This window comes from Homo sapiens, chromosome 14 (assembly GCF_000001405.40).
Source record: "Homo sapiens chromosome 14, GRCh38.p14 Primary Assembly".
NCBI classification, from domain to species: domain Eukaryota; kingdom Metazoa; phylum Chordata; class Mammalia; order Primates; family Hominidae; genus Homo; species Homo sapiens.
Window position 1 is genome coordinate 25,364,403 of NC_000014.9, and position 20,153 is coordinate 25,384,555.

Below are 20,153 nucleotides of genomic sequence, written 5' to 3' on the forward strand. Positions count from 1 at the left end.
CTTGCTTCTCTGCCTCCCTGATTGCTCCCCACCTAGAAATAATGACTACTTTAGATTTCGCATTTTTCTCTTAAAAAGTATTTAAAATCGTATATGTAGATTCTCCTCAACAATTCGTTGTTTAATTAGTTTTGCATTGTTTGATTTTGACCTTTACAAAAAATGACAACAGTTTATAGTCTTAGGAGATTTGCTTTTTTCATTCAATAGTATGTTTAAAGATTCATTTCTGAAGATTTGTTTGATGTGGTTTATTCATTTTTATTGTGGAAGAATAGACTTTACTAGTTTATTCATTTGTTTATCCATATCCTTGTCAATGAACCTTTGGATATTTGAGTGGTTCCCCAATCTTTTTTAAAAAAATTTTTTTTAATACTTTAAGTTCTAGGGTACATGTGCACAACGTGCAGGTTTGTTACATATGTATACATGTGCCATGTTGGTGTGCCGCACCCATTAACTCCTCATTTATATTAGGTATATCTCCTAATGCTTTCCCTCTGCCCCTACCCCCACCCCACAACAGGCCCCAGTGTGTGATGTTCCCCTTCCTGTGTCCAAGTGTTCTCATTGTTCAATTCCCTCCCATGAGTGGGAACATGCTGTGTTTGGTTTTTTGTCCTTGCGATAGTTTGCTGAGAATGATGGTTTCCAGCTTTATCCATGTCCCTACAAAGGACATGAACTCATCCTTTTTAATGGCTGCATAGTATTCCATGGTGTATATGTGCCACATTTTCTTAATCCAGTCTATCATTGTTGGACATTTGGGTTGGTTCCAAGTCTTTGCTATTGTGAATAGTGCCTCAATAAACATACGTGTGCATGTGCCTTTATAGCATCATGATTTATAATCCTTTGGGTATATACCCAGTAATGGGATGGCTGGGTCAAATAGTATTTCTAGTTCTAGATCCTTGAGGAATCGCCACACTGTCTTCCACAGTGGTTGAATAGTTTACAGTCCCACCAACTGTGTAAAAGTGTCCCTATTTCTCCACATCTTCTCCGGCATTTGTTGTTTCCTGACTTTTTAATGATCACCATTCTAACTGGTATGAGATGGTATCTCATTATGGTTTTGATTTGCATTTCTCTGATGGCCAGTGATGATGAGCATTTTTTCATGTGTCTGTTGGCTGCATAAATGTCTTCTTTTGAGCAGTGTCTGTTCCTATCCTTCTCCCACTTTTTGATGGGGTTGTTTGTTTTTTTCTTGTAAATCTGTTGGAGTTCATTGTAGATTCTGGATATTAGCCCTTTGTCAGATGAGTAGATTGCAAAAATTTTCTCCCATTCTGTAGGTTGCCTGTTCATTCTCATGGTAGTTTCTTTTGCTGTGCAGAAGCTCTTGAGTTTAATTAGATCCCATTTGTCAATTTTGGCTTTTGTTGCCATTGCTTTTGGTGTTTTAGACATGAAGTCCTTGCCCATGCCTATGTCCTGAATGGTATTGCCTAGGTTTTCTTCTAGGGTTTTTATGGTTTTAGGTCTAACATTTAAGTCTTTAATCCATCTTGAATTAATTTTTGTATAAGGTGTAAGGAAGGGATCCAGTTTCAGCTTTCTACATATGGCTAGCCAGTTTTCCCAGCACCATTTATTAAACAGGGATTCCTTTCCCCATTTTTTGTTTTTGTCAGGTTTGTCAAAGATCAGATGGTTGTAGATGTGTGGTATTATTTCTGAGGGCTCTGTTCTGTTCCATTGGTCTATATCTCTGTTTTGGTACCAGTACCATGCTGTTTTGGTTACTGTAGCCTTGTAGTATAGTTTGAAGTCAGGTAGCATGATGCGTCCAGCTTTGTTCTTTTGGCTTAGGATTGTCTTGGAAATGCAGGCTCTTTTGTGGTTCCATACGAACTTTAAAGTAGTTTTTTCCAATTCTGTGAAGAAAGTCATTGGTAGTTTGATGGGGATGGCATTGAATCTACAAATTACCTTGGGCAGTATGGCCATTTTCATGATATTCATTCTTCCTATCCATGAGCATGGAATGTTCTTCCATTTGTTTGTATCCTCTTTTATTTCATTGAGCAGTGGTTTGTAGCTCTCTTTGAAGAGGTCCTTCACATCCCTTGTAAATTGGATTCCTAGGTATTTTATCCTCTTTGAAGCAATTATGAATGGGAGTTCACTCTTCACTCATGATTTGGCTCTCTGTTTGTCTGTTATTGGTGTATAAGAATGCTTGTGATTTTTGTACATTGATTTTGTATCCTGAGACCTTGCTGAAGTTGCTTATCAGCTTACGGTGATTTTGGGCTGAGATAATGGGGTTTTCTAAACATACAATCATGTCATCTGTAAACAGGAACAATTTGGCTTCCTCTTTTCCTAATTGAATGCCTTTTATTTCTTTCTCCTGCCTGATTGCCCTGGCCAGAACTTCCAACAATATGTTGAATAGGAGTGGTGAGAGAGGGCATCCCTGTCTTGTGCCAGTTTTCAAAGGGAATGCTTTCAGTTTTTGTCCATTCAGTATGATATTGGCTGTGGGTTGGTCATAAATAGCTGTTACTATTTTGAGATATGTCCCGTCAATACCTAATTTATTGAGAGTTTTTAGCATGAAGGGCTGTTGAATTTTGTCAAAGGCCTTTTCTGCATCTATTGGGATAGTCATGTGGTTTTTGTCTTTGGTTCTGTTTATATGCTGGATTATGTTTATTGATTTGCATATGTTGAAACAGCCTTGCATCCCAGGGATGAAGCGCACTTGATCATGGTGCATAAGCCTTTTGATGTGCTGCTGGATTTGGTTGGCCAGTATTTTATTGAGGATTTCTGCAGCAGTGTTCATCAGGGATATTGGTCTGTTATTGTTCTATTCAGATTCAACTTCTTCCTGGTTTAGTCTTGGGAGAGTGTGTCAAAGAATTTATCCATTTCTTCCAGATTTTCTAGTTTATTTGCATAGAGGTGTTTATAGTATTCTCTGATGGTAGTTTGTATTTCTGTGGGATCGGTGGTGATATCCCCTTTATCATTTTTTATTGCATCTATTTGATTCTTCTCTCTTTTCTTCTTTATTAGTCTTGCTAGTGGTCTATCAATTTTGTTGATCTTTTCAAAAAACCAGCTCCAGGATTCGTTGATTTTTTGAAGGGTTTTTTCTTTCTCTATTTTGTTCAGTTCTACTCTGATGTTAGTTATTTCTTGCCTTCTGCTAGCTTTTGAGTGTGTTTGCTCTTGCTTCTCTAGTTCTTTTAATTGTGATGTTAGGGTGTCAATTTTAGATCTTTCCTGCTTTCTCTTGTGGGCATTTAGTGCTATAAATTTCCCTCTACACACTGCTTTGAATGCGTCCCAGAAATTCTGGTATGTTGTGTCTTTGTTCTCATTGGTTTCAAAGAACATCTTTATTCCTGCTTTCATTTCGTTATGTACCCAGTAGTCATTCAGGAGCAGGTTGTTCAGTTTCCATGTAGTTGAGCAGTTTTTAGTGAGTTTCTTAATCCTGAGTTCTAGTTTGATTGCACTGTGGTCTGAGAGACAGTTTGTTATAATTTCTGTTCTTTTACATTTGCTGAGGAGTGCTTTACTTCCAACTATGTGGTCAATTTTGGAATAAGTGTGGTGTGGTGCTGAGAATAATGTATATTCTGTTGATTTGGGGTGAAGAGTTCTGTAGATGTCTATTAGGTCCGCTTGTTGCAGAGCTGAGTTCAATTCCTGGATATCCTTGTTAACTTTCTGTCTCATTGATTTGTCTAATGTTGACAGTGGGGCGTTAAAGTCTCCCATTATTATTGTGTGTGAGTCTAAGTCTCTTTGTTGATCTCTAAGGACTTGTTTTATGAATCTGGGTGCTCCTGTATTGGGTGCATATATATTTAGGATAGTTAGCTCTTCTTGTTGAACCGATCCGTTTACCATTATGTAATGGCCTTCTTTGTCTCTTTTGATCTTTGTTGGTTTAAAGTCTGTTTTATCAGAGACTAGGATTGCAACCTCTGCCTTTTTTATTGTTTTCCATTTGCTTGGTAGATCTTCCTCCATCCTTTTATTTTGAGCCTATGTATGTCTCTGCACATGAGATGGGTATCCTGAATACAGCACACTGATGGGTCTTGACTCTTTATCCAATTTGCCAGTCTGTGTCTTTTAATTGGAGCATTTAGCCCATTTACATTTAAGGTTAATATTGTTATGTGTGAATTTGATCCTGTCATTATGATATTAGCTGGTTATTTTGCTTGTTAGTTGATGCAGTTTCTTCCTAGCCTCGATGGTCTTTACAATTTGGCATGTTTTTGCAGTGGCTGGTACCAGTTGTTCCTTTCCATGTTCAGTGCTTCCTTCAGGAGCTCTTTTAGGGCAGGCCTGGTGGTGACAAAATCTCTCAGCATTTGCTTGTCTTTAAAGGATTTTACTTCTCCTTCACTTAAGAAGCTTAGTTTGGCTGGATATGAAATTCTGGGTTGAAAATTCTTTTCTTTAAGAATGTTGAATATTGGCTCCCACTCTCTTCTGGCTTGTAGCGTTTCTGCTGAGAGATCTGCTGTTAGTCTGATGGGCTTCCCTTTGTGAGTAACCCGACCTTTCTCTCTGGCTGCCCTTAACATTTTTTCCTGCATTACAACTTTGGTGAATCTGACAATTTTGTGTCTTGGAGTTGCTCTTCTTGAGGAGTATTTTTGTGGCATTCTCTGTATTTCCTGAATTTGAATGTTGGCCTGCCTTGCTAGATTGGGGAAGTTCTCCTGGATAATATCCTGCAGAGTGTTTTCCACCTTGGTTCCATTCTCCCCATCACTTTCAGGTACATCAATTAGATGTAGATTTTGTCTTTTCACATAGTCCCATATTTCTTGGAGGCTTTGTTCATTTCTTTTTACTCTTTTTTCTCTAAACTTCTCTTCTCACTTCATTTCATTCATTTCATCTTCAATCACTGATACCCTTTCTTCCAGTTGATCGAATTGGCTACTGAAGCTTGTGCATTCGTCATGTAGTTCTTGTGCCATGGTTTTTGGCTCCATCCGGTCATTTAAGGACTTCTCTGCATTGGTTATTCTAGTTAGCCATTCATCTAATCTTTTTTCAAGGTTTCTAGCTTCTTTGTAATGGGCTCGAACTTCCTCCTTTAGCTCAGAGAATTTTGATCATCTGAAGCCTTCTTCTCTCAACTCCTCAAAGTCATTCTCCGTCCAGCTTTGTTCCATTGCTGGTGAGGAGCTGTCTTCCTTTGGACGTGGATGGGTGCTCTCATTTTTAGAATTTTCAGCTTTTCTGCTCTGTTTTTTCCCATCTTTGTGGTTTTATCTACCTTTGGTGTTTGATGATGGTGACATACAGATTGGGTTTTTGTGTGGATGTCCTTTCTGTTTGTTAGTTTTCCTTCTAACAGTCAGGACCTTCAGCTGCAGGTCTGTTGGAGTTTGCTGGAGGTCCATCCCAGACCCTATTTTACTGGGTATCAGCAGCGGAGACTGCAGAACAGCGAATATTGCTGAACAACAAATGTTGCTGCCTGATTGTTCCTCTGGAAGCTTCGTCTCAGAGGGGTACCTGGCCGTATGAGGTGTCAGTCTGCCCCTACTGGGGGTTGCCTCCCAGTTAGGCTACTGGGGGGTGAGGGACCCACTTAAGGAGGCAGTCTGTCCATTCTCAGATCTTAAACTCTGTGCTGGGAGAACCACTACTCTCTTCAAAGCTGTCAGACAGGGACATTGAAGTCTGCAGAGGTTTCTGCTGCCTTTTGTTTGGCTATGCCCTGCCCCCAGAGGTGGAGTCTACAGGGCCAGGCAGGCCTCCTTGAGCTGCGGTGGGATCCACCCAGTTCGAGCTTCCCAGCCACTTTGTTTACCTACTCAAGCCTCAGCAATGGCGGGTGCCACACCCCAGCCTCGCTGCCACCTTGCAGTTTGATCTCAGACTGCTGTGCTACCAATGAGTGAGGCTCCGTGGGTGTGGGACCCTCCGAGCCAGGCACGTGATATAATCTCCTGGTGTGCCGTTTGCTAAGACCGTTTGCGCAGTATTAGGGTGGGAGTGACCCAATTTTCCAGGTGCCATCTGTCACCCCTTCCCTTGGCTAGGAAAGGGAATTCCCTGACCCCTTGCACTTCCTGGGTGAGGCGATGCCTCGCCCTGCTTCAGCTCACACTCGGTGGGCTGCACCCACTGTCCTGCCCCCACTGTCTGATGAGCCCCAGTGAGATGAACCCGGTACCTCAGTTGGAAATGCAGAAATCACCCATCTTCTGTGTCACCCACGCTGGGAGCTGTAGACAGGAGCTGTTCCTATTCAGCCATCTTGGAACCGCCCCTTGTGGTTCCCCATTCTTAATGAATAGGAACAATGTTTATATGAACTTGTGCTTGTATGCAAGGGTTCTGTACATATTTATGCAGGAGCATGACCATAAAATATGCATCTACTAAACTTCAGCAGGTTATGGCATGGTGCTTTCCAAAACGGTTGTATAAGTTACACTCTTACCAATAGTGTAAGAGAGTTCTAGTTGATCAACGTTCTCACTATTTTATTGCTATTATCATATTTGTACATCTTTTCCCTCTTGTGGGTGTATATAGTGCTTTGTCTTGAAGTTTCAGTTTTAAATAGAGGTGGGATCTGCTTCTTTTAAAGTCCTTAATCTCACCTAGCAGTTGCCACCTCTCCTAATCCATTTGTTTGCAGAGAAATTGGACTGTGCTTCACAATTAAATAAAATCAGGGTCTGCTGCCCTACAGAGAAAACTTGAATTCTCTCATGCCTTCCTCCTGCTTCCTCATTAATACATTGTGCCTTCACCAGAACACAGGAAGAAGACACAGCTCCTTAGTCTTAAGACTGTTTCTTCTGCCACTCTGCTTACTCAGATTGCACAAACAAACATATGTGAGGCAGATCCAGTTTTTCTTGTTTTTGGTCTACTGCAAGCATGACTGCTCTGCTGAGCATATTAAGATCTGAAGCTGCATGGTTAGTAATATGTTGAGTGAAAGAGTCAGAAATTCGCAGTGGGGCATGAATGATGGATTTTCTATAGCAGCAGGGATAGAATCTGCTGCTCATCAAAGGCTGAAAAACAGGCCTCCCTTAGAAGTCAAGACAGAAGAAAAATGAGATTGGAATGAGAAAGTACATGATAGAAATGTGGATGTCTTCAAAGAAATATGAAAGTTAATGATTACGGGCATATGCGAGCTCCACACTGAGATATGCCTGTCCAGATAGCAATATTTTCATAGGTATTTAAAGACCCTGGAGATGTTCTTCAGCCCAAGAGAATATCAGCAGATATTCTGAAGCCTAGAAACGGTGAATGACTTGCTCAGGATTACACAGCTAGTTATTCACAGACCTAGACTAGACTCTGGGATATTTGAGTACCACATAAGCATGCTTTCCATTAAAGCACAAACTATTGCTTCCTCTATTTGGCTCTCTGCTTTTCCTTCTGCTGATTAAACTGAAACAATGCCATAGTATACAAATTCACAAATTAGAAATATATATTGTATTCTGTTAGAATAAAGGTTCATGACAAAAATGAAATAATTTTTTAAAGAATTTATATTTGAGTTCTCACAACCAAAATATCTTCTTCCTTTCTTACAAGCCAGTTGTGGTACAGGGACTTCTGTGAAGTGTGACTTGTTAGAAAACCTTCCCAGAACATTTTATTGGAATGGGAAATTGGTCAGGGAAAGGAAGGAGGCCAGGCAAGCAGGACTCACAGGGAATGATGGTCCAGCTCCACAGGGAATCTTGAAGATAGAGTAGACCACACCTTGGAGTTGTTTCCAAGAGGAAACAAGGAAGCTAGGGTATTTATATACACTTACAAGTCAGTCTTTGGTTAAGGTTATCCCTGTGGTGAGAGGAAGTGAATCCCCAAGCACTTCTGGCTTTCCTTTTGCACAAAGCAGATTCCAGCAGCATGAAGGAAGCCCAACAAAGACTCACAGCTGGCCGTCAGGATTAAAAAGCACATCAGTAGTTGGCGTGCATGAACGTGGTAAAGAAATCCAAAGAGATATAGCAGAGCACTGACTGCTTCCGTGGCTGCTTTAAACTAGATCTTTCCTATTAACAGAATTCTCTGAAGCAGTGGTGGTGTAGTAAAACTCTACTACCTAATATATGTCCTTGGGCTGTCTCACACATGGCTGATAAAAAAACAAATTCATACAATATTTTTTGGGGAAAGTTTGGCAATATATCTCAAAAGTCTTAAATGTAGAATTTTCTAATAAAAATAAGACATATTATTTATCAAGTGTTTAATATGTTGCAGATATCATACTATGTGGTTTATTTCTAGGATCTTATCTAAAACTCTCAACAACCTAATAATATAGATATTATTACTATCTTCATTTTATAGATGAGGAAACTGAGTCTCATTGATTGATTGAATTGCCCAAGTCACACAGTTGGTAGGTGGTATAGCTAGAATTTGAACCAGGTCTGTTTAATTCCAGGTACTGTACTTGATTCCAGAACCATTTACATTAAATGATTAGGAATAGGTACACAAATTTTATCCATAGTAATGTCCTTACAGTGTTTTATATTAAAAAATTTGAAACTACCACAAAAACCCAAGAGGACAGGGTTCAGTGAGCTTCTGGATAGCTGAACATATGGAGGTTACTAAAGGTGGCACACTCAGGGAGGACATGGAAGCTTTGTACCCTTTCCCCCATATCTTGCCCTATGCATCTCTTCATCTGTATCCTTTACAATATCCTTTATAATAAAACAATAATGCATTAGTCCATTTTCACACTTCTATAAAGATACTACCTAGGACTGGGTAATTTATAAACAAAAGAGGTTTAATGGACTCATAGTTCCACATGGCTGGGGTGGCCTCAGGAAGCTTACAGCCATGGCGGAAGGTGAAGGGGAAGCAGGTGCCTTCTTCACAAGGTGGCAGGAGAGAGAGAGAGAACACAGGGGAAACTGGCACTTTTAAAACCATCAGATTTCATGAGAACTCCTTCACTATCACGAGAACAGCATGGGAGGAAACTGTTCCCATGATCTGATCATTTCCCATTGGGCCCCTCCCTCAACACATGGGGATTACAACTCGAGATGAGATTTGGGGGGGATACAGGGCCAAACCACGTCAAGTAAACATTAAAAAAATCTGAAACTATTAATATTTACATGTCTAAAAATTGAGGTCTAGTTGAAGAATTTGTATTAGAACTATTTGATGGGATAATTTTTAACATAAAACTAATATTGAAAATCTGTATTTTGTTTGACATGAAAAACTGTTCGCTATACAATATTAAATGAAAAATCAGGTGAAAACAGCTATAGATTATGTTTCCATTTTTGCGAAAACAAAATAACAAAACAAAACAAAACTACACATGAATGGTTAGTGAGCTATGTGAAATAACAGATCTAAGCACTGGATGGTATTTTTGACCATTCTTTTCTAAAGGTTTATGAAATGCACTCACCTCTTGCTATGGTTTAAATGTGTCCCTCAAAGTTAATGTGTTGGAAATGTAATCTCCAATGAATCAGTGTTGTGAGGTGGGGCCTAATAAGAAGTAATTAGGACATAAGGGCTCTTCCTTCATGAATGAATTCATGCTATTAAAACCAGAGTGGGTTAGCATTGTGGGAGTTGGTTAGTTATGAGAGTGGGCTTGTTATATAAACAAGTTCAACCCCTTCTTGCTCCCTCTTGCCCTCTCTTTGCCCTTCTTCCATGGGATCATGCAGCAAGAAGGCCATCACTAGATGTTTTGTTCTTGGACTTCTGAGCCTCCAGAACTGTAAGCCAAATAAATTCCTGTTCTATAAATTGTCCAGTCTGTGGTATTCTGTTATGGTAGTGTAAAATGGACTAATCCACCTTTCTAATTCCTTTTCAAGGCATCTCCACAAAGTAGTGAGGGGCTAGAATTTTTCTACAAATATTTTGAATTTGATAACCACAAATGGATGAAGAGGACCCTACTAAAACCTTGCCCATAGAGTAATTTAACCTGTTTTCATACTCACTTCCTAAGATTTGAGCACTGTAATCCTGGTAGCCTCTGCTTGGAAAGTTCTTTCCCTCTAAACCACCCTATTAATTCATAAGCATTTTTCACATCTCAACCCCAGGAGGGTCAGCCATCCCTTCTTTTTCAACATTTCTTTTCTCACTTAATAAAATATGTAAGCGCAAGATATTATGCTGGGCACCAAATAGGACACCAGAAGAGAAATTAGCTTAGGGACTTGTGTTCATAATATGTCACAGAACATTTGGACAGGAAGAGATATATGGATGAATGAGATTCAAAATGAGATTTTTCAAAGGCTTATTCTGAAATGAATGGGAAGGGTCATGTGTGTATTTACAAATAACTCATAAGCTGTCATGCATATCCATTTTTAAGTGCCTATTAAACTACCAAAATAATAATAATAACAACTATAAGCTGTCATGCATATCCATTTTTAAGTGACTATTAAGCTACCAAAATAATAATAATAACAACTAAGGCCATAAAGGGCCATATATGGTTTACAATTCTTCACAAATATTACTCCAGAAATAACAGGATATTTGGAGGAAGATCTCCAAAAGGTAAATATTTTAGTCTTTGTTACTTATTTCCACAACTAAAGCAAATGGCTATTGAGTATAAGCATCTGCAAATATTTTTCTTGAGCATGTTGTTTAAAGAAGGAGAACTTGGTTACTGGGCTAGTTTGAGGAAAGCACTTTGGGCAGAATTACTTACCTTATTACACTTGATAGATGTATGGTGACGTGCATCACTTTAGGTACCACTCACACAACCAGCCTGAAGGACAACCACAGAGGACAGCAGAGGAATAAATAGAACTTTAAACAGAGAACTTGGTGTTACTTCAATAAGTCTCACATGTGAATGAGTAGGAGGCTCTGAAAGTTGATGTTCAGAAGGATATCATAAATCAAAATTCATTTGGCTTTGAAAAGTTGTCTGGAAGAAATACATAATATAATTTATCCTTATTCTTCTTTTAAAAAGCCTAGAATATCATTTGCTCTTATATACTGTATTGGAATCTATTCAGATTATTCAAGTGTTATAGTTCAACAATCCTTGGTGAAAGGCCAGGAAAACCTGAATGACAACACTACATTTGTTTTACAGGTAAAAATGGAAATTGTACAATCAAAATCGAGCTTCAGAAATATAATTCAGCATGAGAGAGTTACGCAGAAATTAGTGATCCCATTAAAAAGATGCACTTTAAGAATAAATATGATTTTTGTTAGTATTTAATTTTAAAAAGTTTAAATAAAATGTCAAAAATTGTGGTGTACATTGGTGCACTCATCCCATTTGAAGTTTTGTAGACTTAAATTTCTGCTTTCTACTAAATTATTTTTTGTTTACCCTATTTTTCTACTAACTTTGTGTTATTCACATCCACATATCCAAAGGTAATTAAAATATTGATGACTATTAATTTTATGAGAATATCTATACTGATATCTGTCACTTGTTCATTATGAAGACCTAATGGAGGAGCGATATCATTCCCTTTGATGTTAGGAGATCTAATTTCTAGGTCCAGTTCCATTTGTAATAAGCTCGATGACCTTGGGTAAGTCACATAATTATATGTTAATCTTCAATTTTCTCATCTATGAAATGAAGTTGGACCATATGATTTTGAAAGTCCCTTCTATCTCTGAAATTATACTGTCAGCTCTCATTTTTACTAATTTGGAGGAGCAATGATCTGCTGTTACGACACAGTAGATTAATCCCCACTGTATTTGCCTAATTGGCATGAAAAGCGACAGAGACTGAGGAATGGATGCAGCTGTCTTTGGTGCAAGTGGGTACAGGCTGAAGCTCCTCAGTGCTCACTCCTGAAGATTTTCAGTGCCTTTCCATTTTTCATTAGCCCCACTGTCCACATGCTCTTGACCATTCTCAGAGTCGGGATCTGACCATGACTCTAGTGACCTTCAATATATATAATCATAAGTTGGTGTCCTTTGTCTTATAGTTGTTTCCTGAAGAATCGTCTCAAATGTATACAAATCCTGGCATTTAATTGTGGGAATGGATCTGCTACTGTGCACAAAAGTGAGTTGCTTAAGAATGCCTTATCTATTTCACATTGGAGTGCTATAGACTGTAAATCTATGGACATGATCTTGGGAAACCTCTCTGACCTATCTCAGAGTAATGTTTTTAAACACATAAAATACACAGGATTGCAAAGAAATGAAATAAATAGAAATACAGTTTCATTAATAAATCAAAATTTAAGACCTGTATGAATATCATTTTCATCTAGACTGTAAACTCCCTGAGATCAGGAAGTATGTCTCGTTCATTGATTTATCCTAAGTGCTTAACACAGTGCATAGTTCAGTCACTTATTTAGTGACACTATTTCAAAAATCTTCTTTCTTTGAAGTCTGCATCCTCATCAGATTTTAAGTTCCTTGGGGATAAGTGTAGACGCTTATCCACTATTGCCTTTCCAGGTCTTATATGGTGTTCCAAACTTAGTTGGTGCTCAACTAACATTTATTAAAAGGACATATAGTTGAGCTAGCCCTGTACATTTTCTGCTCTCTTCTGGCTACTTTGAGTACTGGGTTATTGGCTTATTGCTGGCAATTCTGTTCTCTGGAGGTACAGGTTGGCCTGAAGTCTTGAAGAACTAAGGAGGAGGGTATATTAGTCTGCTAGGGCTGCCATAACAAAATCTCATAGACGTGGTGACTCCGACATCAGAAATTTATCCTTTCATAGTTCTGGATGTTGGAAAGTCCAGCATCAAGGTTCTGGCAGGGTATGCTTTTTGGTGAGAGTTGTTTTCCTTCCTAGCTTGCAAATGGTCACTTTCTCAGTTTCTCCTCATATGGTAGAGAGAGAAAGAGCTCTCTTGTATCTCATCTTATAAGGACACTAATTCTATCATATCAGGGCCCCATCCTTATGTCCTCATTTAGCCTTAATTACTTTTATAAATGCCATATCTCCAAATGCAGTCACGTTGGGGGTTATGTCTTCAACATATGGATTTTGGAGTGATACAGTTCAGTTCACAGCAGAGAGTCAGTGTGGTGCACTGAAATATGAAGGAGACTCCAAAGTCTCATTCTGGCTGTGCCATTAACTAGCCAAAGAGAAAATCCACTGTTTTCTCACATGTAAACTTTTTGACTAGATAATCTGAAGTTTCTTACCTACATTCAAATTCTTTGCACCTGTATGAAGATCCCAGTGAATCTCAGTAGAACAAAGTTGCTGCCCAAACTGAAAATTGTCTTTTAGAATATTATCATACATCATTTCTGAAAATACCACACAATCAAGTTAACTTTTGATTGAAGTGCTTCAAAGCTTTTCAGTGAAGTTTAATACACAATATGGGTTGGTAAATTAATGCCAAATCAGTAGTTCAGAGATCTGTACGGCTTCCTGGAGAATGAAATGGCTTGAATTTGTAACTGGCATTAGGAAAGCTAGCAGTGCTAGAAAACTAAACTAACATTCACTTTTACTTCTTAAAGTTACTTCTTTAGATCTTCTCAGGGTCATATTGATTCCTTCTTTGTTGTTATTCAAATAGAAAGAGGTAACAAAATAACTTCTAGAGTGTATTTTTTGAAATAAACTTATATCTAGGAAATTAATAAACAAATATGATTAATAGAAGTATTCATTAGACATTAATCAAATAGTGACTTCAACACTTTTAAAAATGTTTATTTCTGTCCACATGCTCTTCCCCTCTGATTTCTAATGTGTTTAATATTCTTCATAGTAATATTATGCAAGCTAAACTAACTGATATGTACTGCTTTGCTGAGAATTTCAATATTTTATAGCTTGATTAGAACCAGTGTTTCTTTTCTCAGAAAGAAAAAGGCTGACAATGTTTAATAATTTTTTATAGAGCGTTTCCATGATTATTAGTGTTTTAAAAAAGGTCAGACATTTGAATAGGTTTCATAAGTCTTAAAAGCAGCAAAAGCTTTTGAATTGATTAATTTGGGCTACTAATTTTACAGAGTACTAGAAATAAAAGGATTTTGAATGATAGTATAATCCAGCTTTGATGGTATAATCCAACTCTCACACATTACAATGCCCACAAATTCTCTATGACTTGAAGTTATACTTAGCTGCAGTTATTTAATCAGTCATTCAAACCACTAATTTATTTATGTTTTCATTTATTTATTCATCATTTGATGAATGAGGCAGTACAGCATAGTGGTTAATAGAATGGGCTTAAGTTAGAATCCTGGTTTCTCTATTATTAGTAGTGTGTGACCTTACTCAACTTCAGGAAAGCTTCTGTTTCCTCATTTTTAAGAAGGTGCTAATGGAAATGCCGACTTCTCAAATTTGTTTCAATGATTAAATAAGACTGTATTTGTAAAACATTTAAAAGGAGTGCCTGACACATATAAATGGCTCAATAAATGTTAGTCCCTCATATATACCCATAAGGCTGTTATAAGGATTAAATAGATGATGGGTATAAAGATTTCAGCCAAGTACCTGGCAAATAGAATCCATCAACAAAGGTGAGCTAGTATCATTAGGAAATATACACGTAGGTTTTGGGGACAAAAAGATGAATAAGTATCATTGACTTTTTAGAGTCCCTTCAGTCTTTATGTCTTATTTCTTTAGGAAAAACTAGGCTAGGAGAACACAATTCAGGTTCTCTCCAGATGCAGAAGATAACTAGAAAATGCCGAACAGAAAAATAACCAGAAGAGTTCATTATGGTTTTTTTCCAGAACGATTACTCAGTGGCTTGTCCCACAGATGAAAGATATTAACTCATCTTCATTTAGGAGCTTCAGACTAGGGGAAATAAAATTATGGAAGAGATGAAGTGGAGATAGATAAATCGTCTTTGAAGATAGACTTTAAAATTTTAATTTGTTTTAGAAAGGTTAATACTTAGAAGGGATTGACTAGAGTCTTAAATTAATGAGCAATGTGACTAAGGAGATAAAAGAAACACTAAATGCTACCAAGTCCCAAAAATTAAAAAGGGGGGTATCTTTGGAAATCTTATGGAGTTAAATTTGAGCAAATTAAGAGCATAATTTTCATACATAGAAGTTAATATAGCATAAAATTGATTATTTAAAGAAGTAGTACTGCTATACAGGATTCTGGGAAAATAATGAAAAGGTCATAAATAGTTATTCAGAGAAGCTGAGATAAAGGGTAACATCTTCCATATTCTTACAGGACTTCTCATGGGACTTTTGGCAACAAAGTCTATATTATATGGACTGAAAACCTAATCCAATAAGGTTATACTATGCTCCCATATTTTTTCCATTGCTAGTTAAGTGGATAATTGATTATTGTTATTATGATAAACCGGTGAGCTTTTATTGTAGTTTGGAGAATTTACATAGAAAAATTCTTTCTCCAGTTTAGCAATTCAGTATGTAAATCTCTCACAAGACATTCATGTTTAGGGTAAATCTAAAGCCTTCATAATGCAACTGAAGCCATTTTTTGCTTTTGTCTCAGAGGATGTTGAATTCTATTGCTCTAATAGCTCTTAATGGGCAAAAAATAAAAGGAATAATATGATTTCTTCAGCCTTTTTTGCAAGGATGTTATTCTGTATTTATTTAATTATCTAGGTGGCTGTCAAAGGTTTCCATAGTTCTCAAATCAGAATATTCCATAGGGTTCTGAACTGTATGTATGGTCATTATTAAGTCCTGTAAATAAGCACATCTCATTGTACCTATGTCCTGAATCACTAAACATGTACTGCAAGATTATGTATTCTTCCAGATATGCATCTTTTAATGCTTTCATTATACCTTCAACTGATGCATTATTTAAAACTTTAATATGCCTCTCATGTTCCTGTTAATACATCCATCTCAGTGCAATTTTTAAACCATTGCATCTCATTTTACATTTTTCTTCATGCATCTCTGTGCTCACTTCCATTTAGCCATTTCATTATGCTTTCTCACTATAATGCTCCTTTTTATTAGTTTTGGATTTCTCCCTGAGAGTGGGGAGAGAGGTGTGCTTGCTTCCTCTCCTCTCGTCTTTAGTATGACCTCAGTAAGATTTTCTAATTTTTTTGTAGCTATCCTCTCCTATCTGAGAGGATCTCCAGGGATCATTCTAGAAGTTTCTTTTCTGAGTGAATTTTCTGCTTTGGCTCTTTTTCATTCTTTACATGAACTGTTTGTTTTCTAAGGAAACTGCTCCTACATACTGTTTATTCAAAGCCCTCACAGACTATATTCTAGGAACTTCTGTGGCAGGAGAGGTGGGGGAGAGTGTTCATGTTTATTGTTTTACCAGGTATTTTAAGTTTCCTTGTATTCTAGCATTGTTGAATAAAAACTGACAGCATAGACTCTCTGTGTACATTACTTTGTGTGATCTATATTAAAAGAAAAAAGTGATGAGAAGGCAGCTCTTATTTATTTTTCACAACATTTCAAGCCAGTTTTATGTTTTGATTTGTCAGTCTTTTATTAGGTCCTAAATGGAACATATGAGGCAGAGAAAACACCTTTTCAATATTATTTGTTGATATTTTTCTCAAAGGCAGATGTCTAATATTCATATTTCCCAGTAGACTTCTGGGAACCATCAAACGTGAATATGGGTGATAAGTAGGACCAAAGTGCTGCCCCCATTTTTTCCCCTTTGTAAGCCACCATGATTCTTGAAATTACCAAAGCTAGTTATTGGTGAAACATTTTCTATGGTATCAATTAAAGGTTCAGACAAAAATTAGCATTAAATGATTAGGGAAATATAGCTGATTTTAAATGGTATCTGTCTGGCAATCTTTGGAGCCATCTCTTCTAACTTTCTTTTTAAAGTTTCATTTATTCACTTATTTCCTTATTCATTCATACTCACTGAATGTGTGACACATGCCATGTCTGTGATTTCTACCCAAATTGAAAAAAGATAGAATTTATATTATAGCCTTCAGTATAGTCAGACAGACACTGAAAGTCATTCTACTGATGAAAATGAAAGAATTTCTATTATTTGGAAGGACAATGAAGTTGCACGCAGAAAAACACTTAGTGATCTGTGTCTGCTACCTGAATCAAGGCAGCCCTGTCAACCTGAAAGAAATTTGGAGGATATGTATTCTTCTGTCTATGTCTGCCTTTGGGTGAGGCCTGAGTTATCCTAAAGTTGGGCAGCTGTCCATCATCAGTAAGACACTTTTCAGTATCCATTTAGAAACAACATGCAGCTCAGGGTGTATTTCCCTCCTCCCCAGTAGGGGTCGTAGACTCTATGATATAACTTGCTGGAGATGGTGGTTTTTGATGTGTTCCAGTGGAAACAGCAAATCATAAGATCCCAACGTGGCTAGAGAAGCTCTTCCTCCTGCAGAATGACTCAGAGTGAACACTGATCACCCCAACACTGGAGGCTATGTCACTAGAGTCTAGCCTGAAGTCAAAATAGACTTTTTTTACTTCGTACTTCTAAGCATGTCAGCTTGCATTTTCATTATTTTATTATAGTAAACATAATTGTTTTATAATCTTTCTGATAATTCCTATCTGACATCTGCTGCTATTTGTTTTGTTTTGTTTTGTTTTTCCTTGCTGGTTCCTTGTTTTCTTTTGTGTGTCATTTTCATTCTATTTTTCTCAGTGTCCTTAAAAAATGATTTGCGGTGGTACTCCGCAACCTAGAATTATATCATCTTAGTTTGGACTGAATAACAAAATACCATAGATTGTGTGGCTTAAACAACAAATGTTTACTTCTCACAGTTCTGGAGGTTGAGAAGTCAAGCTCAGGGTGCCAACAGATTCACTGTGTGGTGAGGGTCTTCTTGGTTTGCAGACTAGCACCTTCTCACTATATCCTCACATGGCAAAGGGAAAGAGATCATCTCTTTCGTTTCTTTCTTTCTTTTTTTTTTTTTTTTTTTAACTTTCAAAGGTCCCAGCTCTAAATTCCATAATCTTGGGGATTAGAGCGTCAACATATCCATTTTGGAGAGTCAGTTCATAGAAGATGGTGTCTTCCTCTAGAAAGAATGTGGATTGCCTTTTGTTTTAGTGTCTTGAGGCTCCTATAATAAAATACCTTATCCTGAGTAGCTTATAAACAGCATAAATTTATTTCTCATAGTTATGAAAGCTGGAAAGTCTAAGGTCAAGGCTTAGATCTGGGGTCTTGTGAGGGCCCCTTCTTCATAAACAGCACCTTCTTGCTGTATCCTCATTTGGTGGAAAGAACTAGCTAACCCTCTGGGGTCTCTTTTACCAGGGTACTAATTCTATTCCTAAGGGGGCAGCCCTCACGACCTAATCACCTCCCAGAGACCCCACCTTCTAATACCATTACCTTCAGAAGTAAAATTTCAACATATGTGTTTTGGGGGGATACAAATATTCAGACCATAGCAGTTTCTGCCAGATGCTGAGCGCACTCAGGGACCAGTTTAAACCAAGTTTACAGATTCAGGTTTCCTTGACCAGGCAGAATATGTATATATGAATGGCCAGCTTGTGTAAAGTTTGGATTATGGCCACTGCCACTGATTCTAAGGGATTTTTTTTCTTATTTTTGCATCTGTGACACAGCTATGATTTTTGAGTGTCTGTGGCAGGAAGGAAACAAACAAAACTCCCCACAATCTTAATTTTTGTAAGCCACTAAATTTTGAGGTTGTTTGATTAACTTGGGCTAAGCTGAGAATAATGAGAATGCTATACAAAAATTTTTGTTCAGGGATTTTTACCTTTATTTTTTAGTAGTGTAAAAAGAGTTTCATTAAATTAACAAGAGGTTTTAAAATTAATTATTCATCAACAAGATAGAACACTAAACATTCATTAAAAATTCTGTGTTGGAAGAATAATTATGGAAGCAATGCTCATGATATTATTAATCAAAAGCACTTTACCTTGTAGTATGTATCACATGATTCTATCTGGGTAAAATGAAAATAAATTAAATGTATATTTCCTTTTCACATTTTTTTACATTTTCCAATTGCACAATAGTCATGAGTGACTTTTATGTTCAAAAATAAAATGCCTTCTTTTTAATGCCATCTTCTATTTTCCTAAGCAAAATTTAGTATCTTTCCTCTCTGAATATGTGTTGTTCTGTATCACTTTGTTTAGAGATAAGATTTTATTTTATCCTGTCAATCTCTTAAACAATAAAAACCATATCTATCTAACATTATTAGGAGAATCAAAAGAGATAATTCTTATAAAGCAATGAGCATAATGTCTTGCATATAGTAACCACTGAATAATTTGTTTTTATGATCTTGGCAGTTTTAGAGATGGATATAATTTTAAGTCTTTTGGCAAAAGTGGAGTGGCAGGATGATTTTTTGGGTGAGCACTTACTCCTCTTTGCTCCTGGAAAGTTATCATTTCTTGCAAGTGAGTCTTCATCTTCTCATCGGGAGTTTCAGAACCCAGATTCTTGAATACACACATGCACTACCCATTTCCAGTATGCTCCACTGGAAGGTGCTGCTAATGTAAAAGACACGATTAACATACGATTCATGGGAGATGAATCAAAAACAGTTTTTGTTGTCTTCAATAGTCTCTTAAAAATGTATTCAGTAAGAGCATCTTTTTTCTTGCCACTAGATTACTTTTCTTCTTACTCATAGATAATGAATAGTTTAAGTCTAGAAACATATTTTCAATTTAGAAACTTTCATTGTCCAATCCAAAACAAATTAGCATTTCATTCTTCATTCAGAAGAATGGCTTCTCTGTGTCCTCCTTTAGTTAATGCTGAAAGTTTGATTTGGCAATTGCCCACTTTTGGGGAAGGAGCTATATTTGTCTTTTTGTTTCCCCTCTGTACATGCTCACTGGCTACTTTTTAGACACCATCATGATCCACAATCTCCTCTTGGAAATTCCTCTTCACATTCTAATCACCTTTTAGATTCTTGGTCTAGCTGAGGGTTCCAAAAGTGACAGAAACATTTGTTGAATATTTCCTTGTAAATTCTGTATTTTGCCTTGGCACTTCACTTTGGTATGCAAGCATGATTGTGTCTTGGTGGCCGGATGAGCATTTCGGTGCTGACATCCTTTTATATGACTGTTTTAAGGAAATGGTAGAGCACAGCAGTGAGACAAAGGCGTTGGGAGGAGCAGAACTCTAGCAGTGCTGGAAA

General features: G+C 37.3%; 1 long non-coding RNA gene across 1 annotated transcript in view; it reads left to right on the forward strand.

Moving 5' to 3' along the window:
- Positions 1–20,153, forward strand: part of LOC112268135 (uncharacterized) — a 93,016-nt gene that overhangs the window by 13,108 nt on the left and 59,755 nt on the right. Inside the window, exon 2 of the long non-coding RNA XR_002957614.1 lies at positions 11,991–12,070. This is a non-coding gene — a long non-coding RNA (uncharacterized LOC112268135). The remainder of the gene's footprint in view (positions 1–11,990; positions 12,071–20,153) is intronic.